This window comes from Homo sapiens, chromosome 4 (genome assembly GCF_000001405.40).
Source record: "Homo sapiens chromosome 4, GRCh38.p14 Primary Assembly".
NCBI lineage: Eukaryota > Metazoa > Chordata > Mammalia > Primates > Hominidae > Homo > Homo sapiens.
In genome coordinates, this window is record NC_000004.12 from 97,745,657 (window position 1) to 97,771,538 (window position 25,882).

The window sequence follows — 25,882 nt, forward strand, 5'->3', positions numbered from 1 at the left end:
GAGTTTAGTAAAACCTTGGGTGAATAAAACAGTGCTATGCTGATTTACATAGGACTATATTTTTCAATGAATCTAGATTAAAATTCAGTTGAGAAAACTTGAGGAAAGCTCATACCATATGTGCTTATGATTTTATCTTCATGAAACATTTCTCTGAGTCAATTAAAAAGCAGCTAGAAGACTAACAAAATAAAAGTTCTCAAATGTCATTGCATTTCAATACTTGTAGAAAAATAAAGAGTTAATCTTAACATCTGGATTTCTAGTTTTCTACATAAGATGTAGTAATGGAAGATGAGAGTTGTTTGAGCTAATTTATCTTTCAGGCTTAAGTATCTCATCTTTTTCTCTGAAAGTTTTTAGATGTTTCAATAGCTGATTTCTGTGTAACGTTATAACCTTTACATCAGGTTTATTTTTCTCTCCACAGATGGTCATTTGATAATGATAGATGAAGCATGTCTGAATAAAAAGTTATGAAACACACAGATTCATAAGAATTACAGACAGTATAATTACTTTATTGCTAAGCCTTCTATATATTCTATTACCTTGTATACACATAAAACATATAAATGTGTATCTTTAACTCACTAAATTAAAAGACACCATTAAAACATTAAAAACACAGCTATATATAACTTTGCTGGAATGATATTCATATTTAAGTCCATGAATTTTAAAGCTAAAAGTACTGAAAAATTATTTGTTCCCCTGTTTTATCCACTGAGACTGCCTCTGCAACATACTCACAATGTGATTATCTGACTTAACAGTTGAATGTCTCCAATAATTTCTCCAATTGACAGAAACAGAAGGGACAAAACTTTTTCATTAAAGAATAATACTGAGAAGTAGCTTTAATTCAGTCATGGAGTACATACAAAAGACAAAGTCCTGGGTCACAGTTGTGTCAGGATTTAGTAGAGAGTGCATATAATATGAGATAAGCACATATCCAAAATCTAGTCAGCTAAATCACAAAGGTATTAATGACTAGCAGTGGAATAAAAGAAAGGAGGGGTTTAAGAGGTTTAAACTAATTATACTGACAGCACTGTTGCTGTTAAATAACTTTTCTTTACCTAAATATGGCAAAGGGAACAGCAGATTCAGCTCTCTGTGCACCTCGAAAGTATCCCAGAAATAATCACAGCAATGAGAAACTCATAAGCTAAAATATCCCTCTGCATCTTCTGATTACAGTGTCTATTGCTATATACCATGTTCCAGGTATGTAGAACAGTGCCTTTCTAATAGTAGACACTCGGTAAATATATGCTAAATGCATAAATGAATCTATTTTGAAGTCAGGAAAAGTGTGGGAAGGATAGCATGTGCAATCTGTTTTTATACAAAAAAAAAAAAAATCTTTTACAGTAATATCCCCAAAAGTCTTCTCTTTAGGTTTCATAGTTAAAGTAGAGTTATAGAACCAACCTTAGCTGTAAGAAAGGATGGAAAAGAGAGTATTTAGCTTGTCTAATCTCTATAGTGGAGACAGCAAGGGATAAGAGACATTGGAAATAAGTATCATGTCAACCAACCAACAGAAACTTCCATGCACTGCAATCTATTATTTCAGCTAAGTTTCAAAACTTCATATTAGTTATTTTTATTACACCCATTTATTGAATGAGTAACTCAAAAATTAAGATTATTAAGCAACTTCTCTCAGGTCTCACAATTATGAATAGTGGCAATGGAGCTTAATCCATGTTGTCAAACTCCTATCTACTCTCAACGACTACACTCATTTTTTAAGAGAATCAAAGAGGTCAGCACAAGACATACAATTTAATTTCTGTCCCAATTTTTTTGGTTGTGTGCCTTCCTTTACATCCTTTTACTTGAACTTTTTACAAATTTAAGGACCTTTCTTTGCCAATTCTCTGGCCATGCAAATATGTTAACATTCCTTTTCCTTTTCTTTTTTATTGGGATCAGTTTCATATTTGTACATTCTTGGGAGTATCTTTTTACTCATGAGATTTTACCTCTTTTAGGATTTCATAAAGCTCATATTTTATTAATGTGCATGATTTCTACTTTTACTTCAAGACAAAGCGTGCATTTTTACATGGAAATTTACTGAAATAGGAATATAAATTTAAAAGTTAGGGCAGATACTCTTGATTTCTTGTTCAACAATCATTGCTAGTTTCTCATCTTTGCTTAGAAATTCTTGGTTTTATTCAGACGTTTGAATATCCAAGTGGATGACCTTTGATGTGTTCTGTTTAATATTTCCCAGCAGATCACTTAGATATAGTCATTTTTAAAACCATGGCTAGTAAGACATAAGGGGAAATCTTCTAGGATGATTTGAGCAAGTCTTATCCTTCATAAAAGAGTTACACGAATTAAGTCCTCCCCATTTCTACATTTGTTCATTTTCATGTGAGAACTGAAAATGAGCTGCTTCTGTTCCTTGCTACGGTGAAGTTAAAGGCCTCAGGACATAATTCAATCCTCTGAGGTTGACAGATCAGAAAGAGGGAAAGCACCTGCCTCCTTTATTCTTATTGCGGAATCATGTGAAACTGGAAGCACAAACTTACAGTATTACTGCTATGAGGAAGATAAACTCTTCAAAAATACAAATGTTAAGATGTGTCTCATAGTTTTCATGTGAATGTTACTATTTTGTCATTATTTAAACAATTTAGTGAAAAGGAAATCTTATTAAAATGTACTTCAGATGCCAGATATTAGAACTATAAGTTAGAAAGAACAGAAAGGTTAGTGCATTGAAAGAAAATTGAATAGCTCACTGACTTATAACACTAACCCAAAGCTTTCTCACAAGACTAACTTCACTTCAGATTTGTAAAAATTTCTGATTATAAAAGTCATAGAACAAAAAGAGAAAGGGAACATATCATTTTCCTGACTAAATGTATCAGGGACCAACAAGCTTTTGCTACAAAGGGTCAGATAGTAAGGATTTTAGGTTTTGCAGACTATATGGTCTCTGTTGCAAGTATTCAACTCTGATATTGTAACACAAAAGCCACCATAGACAATTATAAATGAATGAGCATGGCTATATTCTAATAGAATTTTTATCTATGGACACTAAGATTTGAATTTCATACAATTTGACACAAAATAGTATTCTAATTTTGATTTGTTCTTTCTCAAACATCTAAAACTTCAAAACCGTGTTAAGTTCCTGAGTTGTACAAAAATAGATTTGTACAAAAATGGGTTTGTTTTGCAGTCTTTAGAGTTTGCCAACTCCTGGAGATAGAAAAATAATTCTTGTAGTCCAATTTGTTTTCAGCTATTTCCCCACTACCATGAAAATAAATAGAATTTCATATACACCCTGGGCTTTGGAGAAATCCGTTTTGGGTGTCTGTTCTCTAGGGAAAGCTCTTATATAAAGCAGATGTTCCCAATCAGTTGCTAGAGGATTCATGACAAGGGACTTCAAATTAGTGTGTGCATAAAACAATGTCTATGGACAAAATAAATAAAGTGATTCATGGTTACATGGAAAAAACTCAAGAATCCTCCATTCTTCTTCCCACTACTAATTGTATCTTGCTTTACTTAAACCTAAAAATTTGGAAACTTTTAGCCAAAATAAAGCAAAAGAGGCAAGCGCCTTCACCCTTTATATCTTTGTCATACTAACACTATAGAGTATAAGTTGCCACTACTTTTTATTATTTGATATCACCATAAGAGTGGCTTCACTCACCCATTATTCACTGTTTTATTCTGTATATTTGGCTATCTAGTCATCTTAAGAAAAATACGTATGCCAAAAAAGCAATAGCAAGATAGTAAGAACTTGCCAACTTAAGAAACATCTCAATCTGAATTAATGAAAATTATAAATGAAATAGAATAATTTAAGTGAATATACTTTATTATTTTATCAATGTAAAAGTAGGCCAAAGTAAAAAAATATTTGAGTGATTTATTTTAGAGTAACCATAGATCTCAGTTGACCCGGAACAATGCCAAATTAGAACACTTGTCCTGTGTACAGTTATTAATAAGTGCCCCATTTCATTCTGAAAAGCACATGCACATGGAGAACAAACTGTATGGTGGTTGTAATTTTAGGAAACATAAGAGACTATTTTGTAGTGTCTATCTGATCATTCTATTTTCTAAAGTTTTTAGAAGAGCCTAATTCTGATGTTTGTTCTCTCTGCAGAAATGCTATTTACTTGTGAAATTTTGAATTATGGAATGTGAAGTCACGTTCAGTAGGATTTATTTCTGAGAATCTTGTGAGGCCTTGGTTGAGGACAGTTCCCGTCCAGACAGGTTTTGCTTCTGCCAAGCATCCTAGGGATGGTACCACCATAAAACTACTTTATATGTTATTTTCTCAGGTTAAAGCCTTCCAAAACCATGCATATAATACAAATGCTATTTGCATAAGTGCAGATTTATTATTATGAGTTATCAGAAAAGAATTATATTTTAAATCCAGGCCAAAATAGAATGCTTTCTTGCAGTTTTTCTTTGCTGGTGCATGGGATTTTTTCTGCCAACCTGTCCTTTCACTGATAGAGCCCTTAGAAAATCTTTGCTTTATATATAGGCATCAGTTTCTACTCACCAGCATCTAGCTGACATGGTTATCAAAACCCAAACAGTCTACATTCCACAAGACAAAGCATTAACAACTACTTAGCCCTCAAGAGAGGACACCTCTAGAAAGTTCTTGCTTTCTAGAAAACTCATCTCTTCATTTCAAAGGATGCTTGCCATATATTATCTAGCATTTTTATAGTGTGAGGAGTTTCAAATGATCTAATATCCTGTATTTCCAGGAATCAAATGGAATAAAAATGGGAAAGAGAAGCATAAAACTAGCAAAGGACAAGTTGGAGAGGTAAGAAGAAAGCCTAAATAGTGAATGTAACTGATGTTAAGGGAGGAGAGATTTCCAAGAAGGACCTGATCAACCACCTGTTGCAGCAGTAACAAGAAAGATAAAAAGTGAGAAAAAGAACATTAGCTTCATGTAAATGACTGCTAGGAACTTAGGAAAGTAACTTCAGAACAATATTTTAGGTGGTGATCCCTGAAAAATATATAATGTATTAATTTGAAGAAATCAGCAGAAAAGAAGCAGAGAGAAAAGAAAAGAAGAGAGACTTAGGATAATCTCTTGAAGCAGGCAACACTTCATTAATGGAATTATTGTAAAAATTAAATAAAATAACTCATGCAAACCCTAAGCATGGTGCTTTGCGGACACTTAATAATCACAGTTACTTTCACCATGTCTTTCCTTCCTCCATGAGAAAAATAATACAAATGCTTTAAGATGCTACAAGGTGAGAACTTTAGAAAACTGAATTCTCACAGAAAGTGTCATGCAGAAAAGTGTTCACACAGCAGGTCTGAGTTGCTCAAACCCTGCACATTCCCAAGAAAGACCTATCTAATGTGATTGACCCCAAATAAAAACTCTGAATATCAAGGTTCAAGTAAGCTTCCTTGTTTAACAACACTTCTTCCTTGTCACACATGATTACTGGGAAATTAGTACATCTAGGAAACTCCACTAGGAGAGAGCACCTGGAACATTGTGCCTAGTTCCTCCTGGATTTTGCCCCATTTCCCTTTTCCTTTTTGCTGATTTTAGTCGATATCCTGTTGTTGTAATAAATAAATAATTTTGTAAGTGTAACAGTTTTTCTGAGGCATAGGAGTCCTTCTAGTGAATCACCAGTATTGAAATTGCTCTTGGGAACCCCCAACACAACTACAAAATAGTTTTATATGTTTCTTAAAGTTATGGTGACATGCAACTCATTTTCCAAACTGCATGTACTCTTCAGAGTGAAATGAGGCACTATTAATAGTTACATGCAATATAAGGGGGAGATTAAGGTTCAAATTGAACATATTTTTACGAGGAAATTTTTATCATAAGTGAAAATAAAGACAAAAGAATTTAGTAATTAGGTATCTTAAGGAGAGAGCCAAAACTTTGGAATAGACAGTGTGAAGAGTATTCACTGTGTCAAATAAACAAACATAACTGAATTGCCAAAGAGTGGTCAGAGCCCAGTTGGATTTATGAGAATCAATTTGGAATGAGTCAGATATGCTCAGTAAATGGAAATTTCTCCAGAGGTCCTCTTCAGTAAAGGAACTAAAGGAAAGGAAAGCAGATTGTGAGAGGACTTTTAATTCTCACCTAATTACTAATTAGGACTTCTAATTACTGCCGATAGCCCTCAGATGTTTCTTAGGGTCTCTTTCTAGGCATACACATAACCATCTTCCCACATTGGATCCCTATCACACCTTGACAATAATATGATAATGTTCCGGACTCCCAAGTTCTAATCTGCAATAAAAACACTACTTTTTCTAATTAAAAAATAGTGCATACTCATTACATTTAGAAAAACTAAAAACATTAAATATAATGAAGAAATCACTTCTTATACAAAACCCTTATGATTTTGCTGCATTTACTTACATCCCTTTTAAAGTGATAATGTTCATAATTACACATAAACTTACAAGCAGTTTTAATTTTTAATGGGACTCCTCTATAGAAATTTTAGTGTACAGTTTCCTTCAATTAATATTTACTATAAGCATATTACCAGTGAATGCTAAATATGCTTTAAAGGTATAACCTTTAAATGACTTTATAATATTCTGTCATAATGAAGCATTCAATCCCTTAATTTTACAGATGAGAAATCTGAAGCTTAAAGAGGTTAAGTGACTTCTCCAAAGTCACAGAGCTAGTTTTGTTAGATTTAGGAAGAGAAACAATTTCTCTAAAGTTCTTATTTAATATTTTATTACTTCACTTTAATCTACCCTGTATAGTGCCACTCATATAACTGTCCTCAAATATTGAACGTATCATATCACCTCTCTGCTTTAGCACACAGGCACCCAACTGCATAGAAGAAAATGTCCAAACTCTTCACCCTAGTATTCAAGGTCTTTTTACAAATCAGCTTTACATCACTTTCCATGTCCTAATCCCATACCACTTTACATTAATTATTTGCTTATACTTAGCCCATACCATTACCCTGGAATATAGTATGCTAATTACAGAATCCAAGACTTACATATCTTGTTTCCCTCGCCAAGATTTAATTTCCTCTTCTTTCATATGCCCAAATACTAAAACCCTTCAGGGCTCTATTCAGATTCTACATCCTTCATAAAGCCTTTTCCACCCACCATAACTCACTCTAAACTCTTAGTTCTCTAAATTCATAAAGCCTTTTCCATATGAATAGTAGAGTGTCTTCCCATCAGATGTAAACTATCTCAATTATTCATTGCCATGTCAATCTCCTCTGCAAATGTGATGCAAAGAAAATATTCAACCATACTGACTAGACTCACTTCAAATTCATAAATAAAAACCTCAGATGGGTTCTTATTTTTCATTGTGGTAAAATATACATAGCATAATATTAATAATTTTAACCATTTGTAAATGCACAATTCAAGGGCATCAAATTCATTCAAAATGTTGTGTTATCACCATCACCACCACCACTTCCCAAAACTTTTTCATTATGCCCAATAAAAATTATACATCCATTAAATAGTAACCTACCTTTTCTCCTCCTCAGACCCTGGCAACCTGCATTTTGCTTTCTGACTCTATGAATTTGCCTATTCTAGGTACCTCACGCAAGTGGAACTGTACAATACTTGTCCTTCTGTGTCTGGCTTATTTCATTAAGCATCATATTTTCAAGCTCTATCCATGTTGTAGCATATATCAAAATTTCTCTCCCTTTTACAGCTGAATTGCATTTCACTGAATGTGTATAATTTATTTTGCTTATCCACTCATCTATTGATGGACACTTAAATTGTTTTCATCTTTTGGCTATGAACATTGGTATACAAATATCTATTTGAGCTCCTGCTTTCAATTTTATTGGATATAAGCCTAGGAATGGAATTGCTGAGACATGTGGTAGTTCTATGTTTAACCATCTTATATTCCCACCAGTAATGCACGAGGGTTTCAACTTCTTTACCTCCTAGCCAGCACTTATTTTCCATTTTTTGTATTATAGCCAACCTGGTAGGTGTGAAGTGGTTCTCTCATTGTGTGTTTCCCTAAACTAGTGATGGTCAGGGTCTTTTCATGTGTTTGTTAACCATTTGTATATCTACTTTGAAGAAATATCTATTTATGTCTCCTGCCCATTTTCTTAAATTGGGTTGTTTTTGTTGTTGTTGTTGTTTTTGAGTTTAAAGAGTTCTTTATATCTTTTGGATATTAATTCTTTATCAGATATATGATTTGCAAATATTTTCTCCCATTGAGTAGATTGCCTTTTAATGAAGGTCATTTATCAATTTTTTCCTTGTTTGCACTTTTGATGTCATATCCATGCAATCACTGCCAATGCAATCAAGATTTCCTATAGTGTTTTCTTCTAATAATTTTATATTTTTTAACTAAGTTTAGGTCTTGAATAAACTTTATAGGAGGCCATTGGTTTGGACTGAGCTCTTGCACTAGGTTCAATAAACCAAACCAAAATGGAGTTTCTCATGCAGAAGTTCCACACCACCAAGCTAAAACTGAGTGGTTTATCTGAGCTTCCAAGAAATTGAAAGAGATAACAGCCAAATCCTCAAACAGTCCCTGTTTTAGCTGGAATGCTAAGAAAGTCTACTCTGCTATAATCTTTCCAAGGAAAACTCTGTAATGCCCAATCCGCTTTTGTTTTTTGTTGCTGCTTTCCTCAGCATTTTTCTGTCTATAAAGCCAAGCTCCTATGCTCAGCTCATCAGAACACTCATTCTATTTTATAGAATAAGATGTTGCTGGATTCTAGAATTGCAAATAAAAGTCTATTAAGGTATTTGAACTAAATTTGTTATAATTATGTGTTTTAGCAGTCTTGGAGTTAAATTTTGCATGAGAGTCTGAATCCCCATACTCAGGTAGCTAACTCCCACTTCTATGAACTCCAAATGTTGTTAGTCAATTATACTTATCTGTCTGGTCTATGTAGATGCCCACTCTCCTAAATGACTATTTCACAATTTCTCTCTTCTCACCCCATAAATCACCACTCTCAGCCAATTACAGTACTTCCTATCTTGTCAAAAAAATTGAGGCAATCTGAGGAGATTTCTACAGACCTCCACTGCCATCTGCCCAACTACCAGCATCTGCACATACCTCATATTCACAGTTAAGAATAAGGGATTATGCAAGGCCTTAAATATCAGGAGGTGGAAATCATTGAGGCCATCCTAGAAACCTACGAACCACAACCATGACACAGAAATAAATTCTGAATAATTTTGCTGACCACAGTTTTCAAAACACCACTCTGGTGAATGGATGACTAAGGTTAACGAGGTCAAATAAAGCAAAAAAACAAAAACAGAAAATAAACTTAAATCAAGTTTTCTGCTTATCTTCAAACTTCAACAAAATCCTTTTGTGGTAAGTTTGGAGGAGGGAAGAGCATACTTTCTCGCATTTATCGGCTTCATTTCTCTAATAAATAACTAATAAACAGGCATCTTTAATTATATTTTGTCAGATATAAAATATTTCAAAATCTAGCAGATAATGGTTAGCCATGTCTATCAGAAATTCAAGCATGCCCACTAACAATATACTTGTAACTGCAAGCAGAGTCTAACATGTAAAACTCTGAAAAACATTCAACCTGAATTACTCATTCATAGAAAGCAACCCTGGTTCAAAGAGGGAAAACTGTGCTCTTTTGCAAGCTCTAGTATTATTTTCTATTGTAAGAATTCATCCATGTTCTGCAACTGAGTTACCTTTAATTACACTCACATATGCTTATTTTCCACAGACATCCTTCATTTTCTTCTCTCTAGGACTATAAATTGCCAATTTCTTTAAGAAAAAAAGCAAAGATGTACTTCATACTGCCTTCATTTCTCTTCAACTTTATTTGATATGTTTATAAACTATCTGGCTCTCAAGAATAGACTGTCAATTGTGTGCATACCCAAATTTGACCAATACTTTCTTAAAGAAATGAGCTAAACCTTTATATTAAGTTGTATTTATTGGGCTCCCTGAATACGCTACAGACTGATCAAAAGCTCTCTCTAAGTTTATTTTCTTAGAAGATGACCCTCTATGAAAGATGTGCAAAATTCATGTTATTTTATGGGTTCCTGTATCTATTCCATGTTCTTTGGTTTTGAATTTTAAAAAGTCCTTGGATAGAAGTCTTAGGAAAGACAGCCTGATGAAAAATTCTCTAAAGAGTTAGAATAAATATTCATGGCACTAGCAGGTCAGAGGAGTGACAAAAAGCTGGCACCATGACATAGATAAGCCCTTCAAATTCAGGTTTTATGCTTCCGATTGGACCAATCAAAATTATCTATCTTTCTGATTGTTTCTAACTCTCCCCCTCCCTTCTTCTCTCTCTCTCTTTCTCTCTCTCTCTGTTGTTTTCCTCTCTTTCTCTTGTTCCTCCCCCCAACTAGAATTATTCCAAATTTTTCTACTTGTTGAAGGACATCAATGAGTCACTCAATGACATCTTCTACCTTGGTACATTATGATGTTTTGTTGTTGAGAAACCATTAGATAAACAAAATTATTGAAAGAGAAAAAATGAGATTGCGTTTCTTAATAAATTATCCCAATTCCCTGTAGTTTTGTTTTGTTTTTGTTTTATTTTGTTTTGTTTTTTGAGATGGAGTCTTGCTCTTGTTGCCCAAGCTGGAGTGCAATGGCACAATCTTGGCTCACTGAAACCTCCACCTCCTGGGTTCAAGCGATTCTCCTGCCTAAGCCACCCAAGTAGCTGGGATTACAGGTGCCCGCCACCATGCCCGGCTAATTTTTTTGTATTTTTTTAGTAGAGATGGGGTTGCACCATGTTGGCCAGGCTGGTCTCCAACTCCTGACCTCAGGTGATCCACCTGCCTTGGCCTCCCAAAGTGCTGCTATTACAGGCGTGAGCCACCGTGCCCGGCCTCCCTGTAGTTTCAACAAATGATTTTGCCTGCTACTTCAAGGGGGAAATTAGTGTCTTTTAGCAAGAACTCCCTCAATTACTTGTCCCCTCCTATCACTCCAAGAAGCATAGGAGCATTTCTATTATTTCTATTTTCTTCCTTTTTATTTCAATGGAAAAAAAAAACTGATTGCAGGCCACTGATTTCGGTGGTAAAAAGGTAAAACATATTTAAGAATGTTTCACATATATCTGCTTAAATTTCTATGTGCTCATCACTTTGACTCCCTCTTTTGTTATCTTATTCTCTTTTGGTAGATGCACCCCTCTTTGCTATCAGCAAGTTGCAGAAAAATAATCAAGGCAGCAAGCTACAACTGTAGATTGTACCCTACACCAATCATGTGTAAGAGGCACTGTAAGAAGGCACTCTATCATTTAAAGCCCCCTGAACTTCCCTTCAAGCAGTAAAAACACCAGATGAAAGATACGAGAAATATGAATTCATAGATATTTTCTGTATTTACACTGATGACAGCCATATTACACGTATTGCCCATGAAGTTGAAAACTTGGTATGGTCCCTCTTATTTACAATTCAAGTCCATCTCCTCATTATCTCATCCTTTTCATCTGTTCTTTATAACCAAAACCCTTTGCAAATGCCTCCCAGACCTTCCCCCCATATAAAGTTAATTAGATCACGAGCAGCTCTTCTAATTAAGCTTACTTCAACCACAAATGCATTTTCTCATTTTATTATCACTAACACCAAGATGAGATACTGTGATTAACAATTAGGTGAACGCTCTGTTCCATGAGATTGAGTCTCAAGTGCAATATGGTCTTAACTCAGGTTTCTGGTCACAAGAAAGTATAAACACTTTGCAAAGTCCTTGAAATCTTCTTTAGGTCACTCAATGCATTCCAGAATTGAATGAATTAACACTTTCTATTTTTACTCCTAATCTGAATATATATCCGTAACACAAAACAATAGATCTTCTTCTGATTAATATTAACCACCTCTAATATACAAATACACTAAAACCTCCACTAGCTCAAAAATATCAAGTTTCCAAACAAATATATTCATGCATTATTAACGGTCAGTAAGTTCATCCTGTTTCTGTATGGTGTATGTTTTCTTTGTCATTTTCTTGTACATATTTAATAGAGTTGTAGATAGACAATAGCTTGAATAAGTTGTGAGGTTAAAATGTGTGACTGTATCATTGGTCCTATACTAGCCCCAATTTACCATACAAAATTAGAGAAAGACACTTAAGCTTTCTGAAACTTAGCCACCTACAATGAATGAAATTTCTGCTTTACAAAGTTGCTTGTAAATGTTGCTAAATGAGATAAATTGTAGAATACTAAACAATTTTAATTAAAATTATTATGGTTATTATTTTCCTACATAATTTGAAGGTGTTAGTCTAGGCTCTAGGGGTTTCTGAATTACTGGCCTACAGTCTTTTAATTGGAATAAAAATGGTATATTAAGAGGTAGTGACAGGTATTTCAGGAAAAATAATTTTTGTTTATTAAAGTACCTTAAGGGGCCATTTATGTAAGAATAGAAAGGCCCTAGAGGGCATTCTGCAAGGAATGTGTAAAAGAAAAGGGAAAGGGAAAGTGGGAGGAGCAAAAGGACTCTTATAAAATAACAGACATTTATAAAAATCATTCTACTATAAAGACACATGCACATGTATGTTTATTGCAGCACTATTTACAATAGCAAAGACTTGGAACCAACCCAAATGCCCATCAATGATAGGCTGGATAAGGAAAATGTGGCACATATACACCATGGAATGCTATGCAGTCATAAAAAAGAATCAGTTCATGTTCTTTGCAGGGACATGGATGAAGCTGGAAAACATTATCCTCAGCAAATTAACACAGGAACAGAAAACCAAGCACCGCATGTTCTCACTCATAAGTGGGAGCTGAACAATGAAAACCAATGGACACAGGGAGGGGAATATCACACATCAGGGCCTGTCAGGGGGGTGCGGGGAGAGGGGACGGAGAGCATTAGGACAAATACCTAATCCATGCAGGGCTTAAAACCTAGATGATGGGTTGACAGGTGCAGCAAACCACCATGGCACATGTAAACCTATGTAAGAAACCAGTACATTCTTCACATGTATCCCAGAACTTAAAGTAAAATTTTAAAAAAATGACAGACATTTGGTTTTATTTTGTTCTGGCATTTCAGATATGAAAAGGGTAAAGAACCCAATAATTAAAGACACAAGGAAATTTTAGATGGAAAAACAGAAAAAAAAAGAATTTAGCAAGATGGCAGGAAGCTGGGGATAATAAAGATGCCAGGGAAGCCCTGCAAAAGACAGAAAAAAAATGAACGTATAATATTTATATTAAATTCTTGCTGATGAGAAAGACAAAATGCACTGAACAAATAATGAGATGTTTTATTCAAGTTATTACAGAGATGATGTCATTAGTGAGGGAAGTCTCAAAGAAAAGGAAGGGTGCCAGAAGTTTTATAGAGGCAGGCAAACAAAGTCATCCACAAGTCTTATGGGAGTCATGAGAAAGAATGGAGACTGGTGTTAGAGTATGTAAGGGCAGTGTGGTGGTACTTTGCCACTAGCCTTTATTCTGAACACAAAAATTGGGAGGACATCTTAACTTGCACTGCTTTCCCACAACGCAGGGCTCAGAAAAAAAAATAACATTGTCACTTGTCTCTGAAATAATCCCCCTTCTTTTTACCATCCATCTTTAGTAAATTCTGCTGTATAAGGTACTTTGAGAGAACTGAAGGAAAAGAGAGTTAAATTCTATGTTTTAACCAATTTAATAGAGGGAAGAAAAAATAATCCAGGTGGTGAGATATTAAGAATTGAACAGAAAGAGGAAATTAAAACAAGAGGTGGTCAGAAAGAATGTAAGCCATCAAGAACTTTTAGCAATATTGCAAGGTCAGGAAGTAAGGGGTTGGATGTTTCAATGTATGTAGAAAAGAAGGTTGGAGGATTTAGCAATTCCCAGGTGGTAATATTTGGGGAATTCATATAAAACTGAAAAAATTAGGTACTCATAGGAAATATAAAAAATATTTAAGGTGGCCAGCAAAATACTTGTTTGCTGGAGTTTCAGGTGCAGTCTAAAAGTGCATCCTAAGGAAGGAGGCGGCATTCCTTTTTCTACCTATAATAAGCCAGAGAGTTTTAGAGATGCCAGTTTTGGAGACTCTAGGAATTATAGGCAACTGAACTACTGCAAGAGCTTCCTAACTATTAATCTGCTTCCACTGTTCCTCTTTCCAATCTATTCTTAAAATTAACATAAGTTTCCTCAAGTATGAATCAGACTGTGTCACTTCCTTATTTACAGCCTCTCATGGCACACCAAGATCATTCATAAGCCAATATAGTTATAGTATAATCTTCTGCCACTCTCACCACCACTTACCATATTATATTATGGGCTATCGCTCAAACAGGAAATTCTTTCATGTTAATCTATTGATTTTCGCACATCTAAATAGAATGTACTACTCCTAAAGCTTTTTTCACAATTTATTTTATCAGCAAATTTATCACAATAGCTCCAGCTGCTGAAGTTCAGATTTCCCCACTGGACTAAAAGATCAAGGACAAGAACTGTGGTTTAGATTTTACATATCCACCCTACCTTCCATACCCTTCCCAGAATCTAGCTCTAGGTATATGTTCAGTAAATGTTTTTAAATAAGTGAACCACTGTGCTATAAGTACCTTTATTCTGGTAAGTAAATGAGCCAAGGCAAGATCATATCTGGATATATATAATTCTCATGAAAAGGTAAATTTCAGTTTATACAATACACAAGTTGAAATATGATAATCTCTCAAGGATTATATAGAGAAGCCACAAGCTTAAAACAGTAGGTTGAAATATATAGTCTTTAAAATTCCATCCAACCCTACAAGTCAATAATTCTGTGGTTAATAAGTTAGAAATGGAAACAGATGAGAATCAGAAAGGAAATATAATACTAAGCATCTAAAGAAGGTCATCTTGGAAGAGAAGATACTGTAACTCAAATCCTTACTGTCTATGTGCATACCTCTGAGCAAGGGTCAGTATGCTAGTTTCCCATTGCTGCTGTAACAAACTACCACAAATATAGTGGCTTAAAACAAGACAAATTTGTTATCTTACAGCTTTGGAGGTCAGAAATGGAAATGGGTCTTAATGGGCTAAAATATGGATGACTGCAAGGCTGCATTTCTTTCAGGAGGCTCTAGGACAGCATCCATGCCATGCCTTTTCCAGCTTCTAGAAATCACCCACATTCCTGGGCTACTGGCCCCCATCAGTCTTCAAAGCCAGCAGTGGCAGGTTGAGTCTTTCTCACAATGCATCACTCTGGCTCTGACTCTGCTTCTTTCCTCTTTCACTTATAAAAACCTATGAGACTACATCAAACTCACTCCAATAGTTGAAGATAATCTCCCCATCTCATAGTCAACCAATTAGCAACCTGCAACTTTAATTATCCCTTGCCTTATATTACAGGTTGAATTGTGCCCCCCAAAAAAATACCTTGAAATTCCAACTCACAGTACTTCAGAATGTACCTTATTTGGAAATAGATTTATTGCAGATGTTATTAGTTAAGATGAGCTTACAGTGGGGTAAGACAGGCCCTTAATCCAATATGACTGGTGTTCTTACAATAAAAGAAGACACAGAGAAAGGAAGACACAAACGTACAGAGGGAAGATGGCCATGTGATGATGGAGGCAGAGATGAGATTGATGCACCTAGAAACACCAAGGATAACCAACAAACAACAGAAGCTAGAAGAAGAAAGGAAGGATTCTCTCCTATAGGTTTCGGAGTGACCAAAGCTTTGCCAATATCTTGGTTGAAGACTTCTTGCCTCCTGAATTGTGAGACAATAAATTTCTGTTGATTTAAGCCACCCAGCTTATGGTACTTAGTTATGGCAGCCCTGGCAAACCAATACACCATATAACACATATTCACAGGTTCTGAGGATTAGAACATGGATATCTTGGGAAGCTATTCTTCTGCCTGCCATAGTCAGTGGGAGAAGTGATAAAAATAGAGGACTTTTGCCCTCTAATTAAGAAAGAACAAGATAAATCTCTTTCTGAAGAAATGGAAATGATGATCTTTTTTCCTTTTAATTTACATACTGTCCTGAGGCTTTTATCTTCCTGGAACTTCTATTAAGTATTCCAGATCACTTAGCAACAATTTTCAACCACAGCTTTTTTTGCTGATTTACTATTATGTTAAGTGCTTACCTCATATGTGTGGCTATTTTAAGTTCAGTTTAGGCAAACATGGGATTTAAATGGAAAATGCATAGCTGAAGCATAGACTAGTCACTATGGCAGAGCCTAAGTGAACTGGGAAAAAAAAATCTATGCCAGCTCAGTGTCCTTGAGTTTTCAGAAAGGAAAAGAAAAGATTCTGCTTTCTATTTTTGGAGGTTTTAAAGTCGTCTCTAAATTTGTATCAGTGAAGCTAATGTCAAACAATACTTTTAAAAGTGGCAGGAGTTCTTTCCTTTTCCTTATTTTGAAAGAAATATATATTTCCAAAGATCTTTTAACCTCACAGAAGCAAAATGACTCATTTTCCATCTTTTTGTTCTGTCAGATTTATCTTTTTCCTTTCTTAATAGAGCAGGATTAACACATTTGTCTTTTGAGATAAGGCACACTCTGTGCTGTTCCCTAGTGACCAATCTTTACGGGAACATTAGACTCAGACCTGTTCTGCCCACACAACTAGTAGCTGATAACAGAAGGGACAGGAGAATGTTCATGGGGACAGTTAAAAGAATGAGAGTTTTTGGCCTAACAGGATGCTTCCTCCCTATGAAAAGAATCCCATTTGCCTTAGAGATGTGCGCACCATTAACAAATATGCACACTTACTTCAATTATGGGACACATGTAGCTAAAAATGCCTCAGGGGAAAACATACAGGGAGAAAATCTTATTTTACAACAGCAATGGAAAAGAAAATCAAAGCTATTGCCTCTCTGATATTTGGAAAGTATTCCACACTAACTTCAAGTATTCCAAATTAGAAGCAAAAAAAGCTTCAAAACAATAAAATAAGTCATTCAAGAATGCTTTGATTTCTTGTGAAATATTTTCATTTCCTGAGATATTACTATCAGATTATGAAAAGATATTATTCCTAAAATTATATGGCTAAAAAAGAGGAATAATCAGTTATAGTGTTTGCATAAATGTCACTATATCTCCTTTCTCTGATATTTAAAGCTTCCTGATTAAATCTTCCCTAACGTTCTTTCAATTTGACCTTCAGAATATAAAATAATCTACGTTATATTTTGGATACAAATCTTAACATACCTCTGTTTCCCATTGTTGCCGTAACAAACTACCACAAATACAGTGGATTAAAAGAAGACAAATTTGTTTTGTATTATAAGTGCTGATACTCTACTATAATTCTCAGTGGGTACTATGTTTGTGTTCAATTGACTTAGCATGGAGGATGTAGCTAACATATAATTACCTGGTGCATAATACAGGAATATTTTTTGGAATGGTCATGAGGATTAGCCATGATCAGTATGAAATAAAGCCCAGCATACAGTTGTCTATATAGTGTTAGTTACTTGTGTAGCATAAAGGTGGTAAGTAGTCAATTTAAGCATGCTGCCCTAACCTTGCACCTTGGATTCTAAAACAGAAGAGACTAATGATGTTACACACAAAAATAAGCTAGAAGTCTACAAAACAAGAAACAATTTAAATCTAGCAGGAAGGATTTTAAAGTTTGTGAGCATATTTAAATATCAATTCATCCAACATGTTTCTAGTATTTAGTTTACTGGATTTCAGCACAAATTTCTATGATAGGTGACATGTAACTAAGGCAAATAGAGAACCTACAAGTAGGGACCAAATATTCCAGTTTGGCCAGGATAGTCTTATTTTATGCCTATTGTCCGGGCATCATTAACAGAACACAGCTTCACAATTTATTTTGGGGTCTTGTTCCCCTAATGAAGACATTTCTGGCATTCTAGAGAGAGGCATTCCCTCCTGAGACTCCAGGCCCATGGAGGGAAACTATGACCAGCCCTACCAGCAAGGGGAATTCATTCCATGTGATATTATGCAAATGTTGCTGATTACTTATCAATAGCAATCAGTATGGATATTTCTATTGATTTTTCTTGACATTGCTGGTTTCAACATTTCTTAACTCTAAGATGATAATATCAGCCACATTTTTATTGCATAATGATGATCATGAAACATCCTTAATATGGTCTTCAAGGCCTACAAAATTTGACCCAAGTTCATTTCTCTATCCTCATCTTGCACCACTTTCCTAACCCCTCCCTATTTTAGCCACATGTGCCTTTTTTAGTTATTTGAATTCCATGCTCAGAATCACAGAACATGGTAGAGCTTCTGCTTGGATCCCTCTTCAAATCCAACCTCCACAACACCACATGCACACACACACACACACACACACACACACAGAGGCACAGACAGACACACACACACACATAGGCACATGCACATGCAGAGTGAACTTACTTTTAGAGTCCTCAACTCAAATGGAACTTGCCTAGGGTGGACCACCTTAACCTCAAGACTAGAACAGATTCCATCTTATACACTCTCACAGCACACCTTGTTTTTTATTTACAGCACTTACTTCAGTTTGCAATTAGAAAATATTTGTATAATAGCTGATGTTCCCCTTTAAGCTATAAGATACATTAGGTTGGGGCTATATGAATTTCGTGCACTATTGTATTTGATACACTCAGCATAGTGTCTATTACTAAGGAAATGCAGCATAAAAATTGTTTTCTGAAGGTTAAAGGATACAAGGCTGGAAAGATGAGAATATGTTAGATGAGAGAATTAGTAATCAAAATAACCTTCACAGATTAGAGAGGTAACCTACAACAAATGAAATGCAGCAGAGATAAATTTTAGATCCCCCAGTTTAAACCAAAGAAACAATTATACAAGAAGAGGGTGGAGTAATTAAAAGTATATATATGTTTAAAAGTTGGTGACAGGATTTTTTTACCAAAATAGTAAGAAATATTTCTGTTTTTTTCTTTCTACCCTTTCCCTTATTCCTCCCCACAAGAGAAAGAGTATGTTATTTAATTCATATGATGGACAGAATCTAAATTCCATGGAGTCTCAGCCAGCAACAAAGGACATGGCATTGGAAAAGCATTACTTTCTTTTTCTTTGCATCCTAGACATAGCTGAATCCAGAAAAAGGGGTGCTAGAACCTCCTCCATACAGAATGACTATGCAGGGCCCCATCATAGTTTTGAAGTTAGTTTTAATATCAATATTATAAGTGCTGATACTCTATTATAATTCTCAGTGGGTACTATGTTTGTGTTCAATTGACTTAGCATGGAGGATGTAGCTAACATAAAATTACCTGGTGTATAATACAGGAATATTTTTTGGAATGGTCATGAGGATTAGCCATGATCAGTAACAGATATATTCAATACAATTGCTGAAGAGATGTTAAAATCTTGGACTGAATAATGCAGAATGTAGAACAAAAATAATAATAGGCACATTCTACTCAGAACTGCTCAGAACACTCTTGGTGTACTGTTCAATCCAGGAAACTCCACTTTAAGTGATATACTGAGAAAGATAGGGCATGTTTTGAGGCTGTTCACAATTGCATTATTATTCCTAATTATGTGCTGTCCTCCCTATAAGAGGCTTGTAGATGTCTTAACTTGATATGTGACAGTAAATCCCAGTGGGAGGTTTATATTTTCCCACCCCATCAATGATAGATTTGGACATGTGATTTGCTTTAGCTTAAAAAATATGTAAAAGTGATTTATGCCCTTCCTCAACAAATTTTGCACTTTTTCCTTCTGTTAGATTGGCATAACTTAGGGGGTACTCCTTCCAACTGAGTCCTAAAATGAAGATATATGGAGAAGAACTTCAACAAACCAATAGCTGATGTTTTATGTGAATGAGAATAAATATTGTTGTAACCACTAAGATTATGGGGTTTTTACTACTACAGCAATGCTTAGAGAAAACTGACTAATGCATACAAACAAACTAATTCAGAGTCAGACAACCTGAACAATTAAAGACTTTGAACTTCATATTAGGAATAGTTGAAGGAACTGGGATGTTCTATTTGTCAAATAACAGATGTGGAGACATTGTAATACCCTTTAAATATTTAATGAGTGGGCAAATATAAGAGTAAGAGAACTGTTCTGAGTATTCTTATCATGTCAAATTAGACCCAATTACTGGAAGCTTTAGGGAAATCTATGTGAGCTCAATATTAGAGGGAACTTTCTAACTTGCAGAGGTGGTCAAAGATGAAATTGGAAGTTGTAGGATGCTTTAAAGGGTTTACTGATATTGGGAGGTACTGATAGCTCAATATATTTAGTCAGGGATGGTTTAAGAGGATTCAAATATTGGTTGGGTCAATAAACTAATATGATCTCTATTTAAAACAAAGCACAAAATTTATAACAAAGTACCAAAGACTTTCCCCATGTCCTATAGACCAACTGTCCTTTATGTCTTGGTTTTCTTCTTTCATTCTGTTCTTGTTCAACCATTGTGAATAGTAATTGGCAAACGGAGGAAAGGATTTCTTTTTAAGTCAGAGGCTTCAAAAATTAAGTCTCAGACTGGATGTGGCAATCAAATATTGAGAAACATGTTATTCCCAAAGATTTAAACATTTAAAATAAAATAGGGTATAATAAATATAAAATTCCTTTTATCCCAAACATTATTCAAAAATAAAAATACTAATGAGTACACAAAGATTTATGAAATGATCGTCTATTGCATGTGAGCCCAACATAATTTCTACTTATCTATCTACAGTCTATGTGTATTTGTAGGCCTTATCATAACAACTAATGGGACATTTGAGTAATATTAATTTTTCCACCCAATATAGGATTTGTAAAACTAAAGAGTTTTAATAGCAAGATAAGCCAATCTTTAATTAAAAATCAATGAATCACATCTTCAGAAGAATTTTCATGCTTGCTTTTATGAGAAAAATAACTCTTTAGTAAGTTTTATTTTGCTTTTGTTTTTGTCAAATAAATAAATTCAATGTCATCTTAAAAATTAACATACAAACTGTGGCTGCCAGCATCTGTTTCCTCTATCTCTTCTAATTAATTTTATTATATTTAATTTTTAGTTATTGTAACATATGCTTAATTGTATCACCCACTGTAATTTATTTTTTCAAGCAGGTAGTGTACAACCACTAAATAAGTAAACATTTATTAAATCCCAATAATGAATTTAAAATAACTAAAAGAATCAGTATTTTTAAAATCTGAACAAGATTTTCTATATGTCTAAAATTTCAAAATATTCAACATAAGCAACACAAGCAATTTTTGATGAGTCATAAGAAAACTTTTTGGCATCAAATTTAGAAGTCACAGTTATTTTATGACTTAAAAGGCAAATGAAACTCAGTTGTTGATAATTTGAGAAAGAAGCTTTATAGTGTCTATCCCATTACCAATTATGTTTATTTTTCTCTTCTACCAAAATGTTGATTAAATACCAAATACAATGTGTTTGTTTAATCAGCTCCTTCATTTTATATTTATAACAACCCCATGAAGAAGTGCAGTCACTGAAACAGGGAAGATTTGATTTCATTTTGTCCCATCCTTGCTAATTTTTTAAAGATTTTTACCATTTATCCTCAACAAAATGGATTTCACTTGATAGGAAACAATAATACAGAGAGTCTGAATCTCTCTGACAATTAAACATGGTGGCATGTTTTAATAATAAACTGGCTTCTATTAGAGTTTAAATTTTACAATATAAATACAATTTGCTGTACTTAATTACAAAGGGAAGGGAGGAAATAAATATTACATAATTTATGTTTCTGTGCAGTTTGTTATTCATATTTGGCATTCATAAAATTGCAATTTTGGAAGCAATTTTTAATAAAAATAATGATTCGTTTTGTCTTCTAAATTAGAAGACTGCATTACTTAATGAGTATTTGAATGTGTTATTTTAATCAGTTTATCCATATTATATATATGATAAGCCCACACAAAAATTAGTGTTTGATTTGGCTTTTTCCTAACAATCTGGCATTTTTGAGAAAACAAAAATTGATTGAAACTTAACAGAGGTTAAGAGTCAAGAGATGAGAAGAGAAAATCTGAAATAATGAAGATAAAACATAGAGTTGGCCAGGCACGATGGCTCACGCCTGTAATCCCAGCACTTTGGGAGGCCAAGGCGGGCAGATCACCAGGTCAGGAGATTGAGGTCATCCTGGCCAACATGGTGAAACCCCGTCTCTACTAAAAACACAAAAAAATTAGCGGGCGTGGTGGCGGGCGTCTGTAGTCCCAGTTACTCGGGAAGCTGAGGCAGGAGAATGTCGTGAACCCAGGAGGCGGATCTTGCAGTGAGCCGAGATCACGCCACTGCACTCCAGCCTGGGCAACAGAGCGAGACTCCGTCTCAAAAAAAAAAAAAACATAAGAGTTAACCTCTTGATACTAGGTTCATGCAAATGACTTGCCAGGCCAATGAGAATTTAAAGACACAATGCAAAGACTTAAAATGGGTGGATATTGTTAACTTAAATAAAATCCAATTTATAAATTTAGAAAAAAGAGAAAAGGAGACTTTATTTTTTATAGTGTTACAGCCTGCAAGGTGGCCATTCTGACAAGCTGAGAAGCATAGCCTCTGGCCAGAAGCCAGAAACAAATATTTTATTGGGAGACAGTGGTGGGCAAAGGGAACAGGAATTTATGCTGAGTGGGGTGGCCACATATACTTATTTAATAAGGTATAGGAGGAGTCATGAATATTTATGAAAGGAGAAACGTGCACATGTGCAATTGTGCTTCATGCTTCTCCATGTTCAAAACTGGCAGTAATAGGAAGGTGTAGTTTTTGGCCCTCTGATGTCAAAAGGTAAAATAAAGGACATTAAACCTTTACTGCACATTCTCATAGACTGGCCAGAACCACTCCATAGTTTGGTGGTCTCTCTTTTTTTTTTTTCCCAAGAAGGAGTCTTGCTCTGCCACCCAGGCTGGAATGTAGTGGCACGATCTCAGCTCACTGCAATCTCCACCTCCCGAGTTCGAGCAATTCCCCTGCCTCAGCCTCCAGAGTAGCTAGGACTACAGGCATGTGCCATCATGCCCAGCTAATTTTTGTATCTTAAGTAGAGATGGGGTTTCACCACGTTAGCCAGGCTGGTCTCGATGGTGGTCTCTTACCAGGCAAAAAAGGAGGGGCAGTGTCAGGCAGTTGGTTGATAACAGTGGTGGCATTATTTGAAAGGGCTAGTTTCTGTTTAGCCTTTAGAGAAGAAAGCCTAACAGCAGTTAGCAAAGCTGCAAAGCTGCAGAGAGGGAATGAGGTGTGTCCAACCTCCTATCCTGACATGGCTGAGAACTCAGTTTCCAAGGTTACTCTGGGGTCTCTATGGCCAAGAGATGGTTTGTTCAGTCAGTTGGGGGACTTAGAGTTTTATACTTAGTTTACAGTATGCACAAGGTAGCTTGCACTCTTCCACTTTTGCCAATGACAGAACACACTCAGGTTAACCTAGTACAGAATGAGAGCCACATGGAGTACATATAAGTGTTCCAGTTGCTGCAGCAATGGGCGGCTTCAATCAGCCAACAGCCAGCTGATTCCCAGACATGTGAGCAAGCCCAGTCAAGATCAGTTGAACTTCCTCATCAACCCCCAGCTTTTCCCAGACAAAAGGGCAATAAACACATGCCTCCAAATTCTAGGCTAGTTTGTTATGTAGTAAAAGTAAAAAAAATAGCAGATAATTTGTGATTATCAGATATAATTTTTGGATATTCTGAAGTACAACTGGTACCCTTATTACAATAAAATAGACCTAATACTTAAGCACTAAAGGAGCCTACCCTCACAAAAAAAGTTATTAAAAAAATCATCTTCGTTTCAATTATTTTATATATATATATAGAAAACACAAGAGTTTCTCATGCATATATGAACATGTCAAATTTATGAAAACATATATATGTCTGTATATATATGTGAATACACAGATATGTCAAATTTATGAATACGTACATATTTATATGTATAGACAGCATCTACCACATCCCATGCACCATTTTAGGATATGGAAATGAACTAACCAGACAACATCTTGCCATTATAAAGTTGAAATTCTGGAGGTGGCATACTAATAATAAATAAATTAACATAAAATATGAAATAAGAGTCCAGGCATGGTGACTCAGGCCTATAATCCCAGCACTTTGGGAGGCTGAGGCAGGCAGATCACTGTAGGTCAGGAGTTTGAGCCCAGCCTGGTCAACATGGCAAAACCCCATCTCTACTAAAAATACAAAAATTACACGGGCATAGTTGTAGGTGCCTGTAATCCCAGCTACTCAGGAGGCTGAGGCAGGAAAGTCGCTTGAACCTGGGAGGCAGAGGTTGCAGTGAGCTGAGATCACGCCACTGGACTCCAGCCTAGGCGACAGAGTGATAATCTGTCTCAAAAAATAAAATAAAATAAAATACATGAAAAAAGTACCACAGATAAAATAAAGTAGGGTAAAGGGGACTGTGAGTTCTAAATGTGCAGTTATCAGGAAAGGCTTCACTGTAAGCTGAGATCTGAACAGAGACCTGAAGGAAATCAAGAACTGAGTCAGGTGGATGTTTGGAGGAAGAACATTACAGGGTGAAGCTCATTTGGCAAGCACAAAGAACTGCCATGTGCCTAGAGTGCAATGAGCAGCGGAGAGAAAAGAAGGAAATGAGTTCAGAGAGGCAGCTGCAGGCTAGGATAAGGATTTTGTTTTTTTAATCTAAACAAGATTGCATGCTATTAGAGGTTTTGAGAAAAAATTAACATGAGAATGAACTGTAGAAGCAAGGGAAGAAGCAAGTATACTGGTTAGCTTGCAGAAATCCAGCTAAGATCTTTAGACCAAATGTTAACATTAGAAGTGCTAAAAAGTTCTTGGAATCTGGATGTATTTTGAAGATAGATTCCACAGCACTTGCTGATGAACTGGGATTTGTGATTGAGAGTACCAGAGGAACTAAAACTGAAGGTTCTAAGAAACATGAAGAATGGAATTGTCGCTATTGAGACATGGAAGGCAGAGATCAGGATGTAAGAGGCAGGGATGGGATGAGTCAGGCAGTTGATTTTTTAGAAGCTCTTTTTTCTTTTTGTCTGTATTTTGATTTGTGTTTTTGAGAGACCTATTAACCACCCAAACAAAAATGTTTAATAGGCACTTAGATATACAAGTCTGAAGTTCAGGAAAGAAGTGCATGCTGTATATATACATTTGGAATGGAAAGCTAATAGTAGTAGTGCTCTAAAGTTCAGCTTAAGATTTGGTTTTGAGGAAAATTCTATTATTCAACTTTGGAAAAGTGAATATACTGAATGCTGCCATTATTTCTTGTACTTGTGAACAAGGAATTTGTCATCAAATCCTATTGGCATAACAAGGTAATAAAATAAGGCACACTATGTCAATATCAGGTCAATCCAGAGGGATAGGAAGCACACGGGGATTTAAACAGAAAAAGTTTAATATGAAGAATTATTAAACTATGATAAAAGAGTAACTCTAGGATATAAGAAAACTCTGTGCCATGCTCTAGGACTAAGATAGAGTACCTAACGAAGGACAAACTTGGAAGGGGGACTCTCCTTCCTAAGGTTGGGGTTCAGACCTTTGTGGAGAAAGTGAAGTTCAGTCTACTGGATGACAAAGAAGTTTGTCAGTTTGCCCAGACCAGAGCTGGTCTGTAGTTGGTGGGCAAGCAGGAAGCATCCTTTTGGAGTACAGGAAGGGCACAGA

At 35.3% G+C, this 25,882-nt stretch overlaps 1 protein-coding gene across 7 annotated transcripts in view, besides 1 other annotated feature; it reads right to left on the reverse strand.

The window, feature by feature from the left end:
• Positions 1–25,882, reverse strand: part of STPG2 (sperm tail PG-rich repeat containing 2) — a 702,228-nt gene that overhangs the window by 304,408 nt on the left and 371,938 nt on the right. The gene's annotated exons all lie outside the window — the stretch shown is intronic.
• Positions 16,542–16,836: a silencer, noted in NCBI's record as "tiled region #6700; K562 Repressive non-DNase unmatched - State 24:Quies". NCBI's record gives its function as "represses a minimal TATA promoter and a strong SV40 promoter by Sharpr-MPRA in K562 cells {active_cell/tissue: K562}" and the evidence as "EXISTENCE:reporter gene assay evidence [ECO:0000049][PMID:27701403]".